This window comes from Homo sapiens, chromosome 3, assembly GCF_000001405.40.
Source record: "Homo sapiens chromosome 3, GRCh38.p14 Primary Assembly".
Classification (NCBI taxonomy): domain Eukaryota; kingdom Metazoa; phylum Chordata; class Mammalia; order Primates; family Hominidae; genus Homo; species Homo sapiens.
Genome location: NC_000003.12, coordinates 154006505 through 154008148, shown reverse-complemented (window position 1 = coordinate 154008148; position 1644 = coordinate 154006505). Strand labels below are relative to the sequence as shown.

The 1644-nt window shown below is 33.3% G+C and overlaps 1 non-coding gene across 1 annotated transcript; it reads left to right on the top strand.

Annotated features, from left to right (window-relative positions):
• Positions 1-646: 646 nt before the first annotated feature.
• On the top strand, positions 647-782 carry LOC124900552 (U8 small nucleolar RNA). Its single transcript, XR_007096300.1, has one exon. It is a non-coding gene; the product is annotated as a U8 small nucleolar RNA (small nucleolar RNA).
• Positions 783-1644: the final 862 nt, after the last annotated feature.

The window sequence follows — 1644 nt, the reverse complement described above, 5'->3', positions numbered from 1 at the left end:
TAGGAGACAGGAATGGAAGAAAAAGTGAAGTTGGGAAGTTTCTCTCCTACTCTTGATGCTTCTTCAGGTAGTATCTGACAGGAGTTTCATCTCCTAGAGACAGTTCCTTTTTCCATGGTCCTCGTTCATGCCAGAGTCTTTATATACATCCAGCCCTTGCCTGGTAGCCTTAGGTCTTGGCATCTACCTACATTACCTCCTCCTTTTGTACCTCACATTAGGAATGTTATAGCTTCCTGCTTCATTAATGTCTGTCACCTTTTAGGACTTTGCACTCTCTCCACACCTCTGTAACTAGTTCCTTATGTTAAATTCTGTAAACAGGACAACTTGGTATGGGATCTATCTTATTGACTGGACCCCAATAATACATCAGATTAGAAAAGTTCCAGTCCCTTCTTTGTTTGCTAGTGGTTTTGTTGGTTTGCTTTGTTTTTTGTTTTAATATAGTCAAATTACATTTTACAAAATCATTTTTGTTATTGAGTTGCTATATGTGAACAACTGAGAATTGTACATATTATTTCCCTTTTATTCTGTTAATGTGGTATATTAAATTTAATAGACTTCCTAAAGACACTTCATTTTTGCACTCCTTGGGTGAACCCTATTTGTTTATGATGTCCTTTTAAGAACATTGTACTGATCGTCAGGTGGGAGAATTCTTACATGTTCCTCCTTTTGCAAGGCAGATTAGAACATGATGATTGGGGTTCGCATAATATGTGATTAACGTTTCTGTGTAATCAGGACTTGCAACATCCCGAATGCCCTTACCTGACACTTCTTAAAAAAATAAATAAATAAAAACACAGTGCTAAATTTTATTGTTTGCTGTATTTTAAAAGAATTTTTGCATCTGTGTTCATGAGTGTAATTATTCTATAATTTTCTTTTCTCGTATTGCCCTTATCTAGTTTAGTAATGCAATTTCAGTGCTCATTGTGAGTTTAATTTGTGTTCATTTCAAAGGTAATTGGTTATTTATTTCAGCTTTTAGGACTCTTCATCCTTGACAATTACAGTTCTATTATGATTTTACTCTTTTGAATAGTTACCTCTTTAAATATTACTTCTGCATTGTTTCCTTCATGCTTTTATTATATTCCTGTGAGATTTACATTGGACACACTTTCACCTCTGTGTCACTTAAAAATGTAATTACTTCTTTTAAGTAATACCATGTTTTTATTTTATTTTTGCAAGTTGAATTTCTTAGATTTTAATTCTTTTTTCATGGATATGATTCATTTGTCAATTTAAATACTGTAAATATTGATTATAAATTCTTTGTCAGTTTTTTAATAAAATTAATTTTATCTTCATTATATTAACATTCTGATTATATATTTTTTCTGGTTGTCTTTCAGAGCTTTAGATGTGGTCCTAGTATTTTGATTTTTAGCCTCATTTTGAATGGTAGTTTCTTTCCCCCTTTTATCTCCTTCTCTGCTTGCTCCTCTCTAATAAGTGTTTTTTTTGTTTCCACATAGGCTCCAGGTCCCCAGTGAGAACCAAGTGTTTTAATGTATTTTGGTGCCTCTACACTGATATAATTTTGGTGATATTGCAGATCCAATCACCAAGCCAGCTATTGGCTTAGTTCTATTTCCAGACTTGAGCCTGTGTTTGTGTCCTACTACC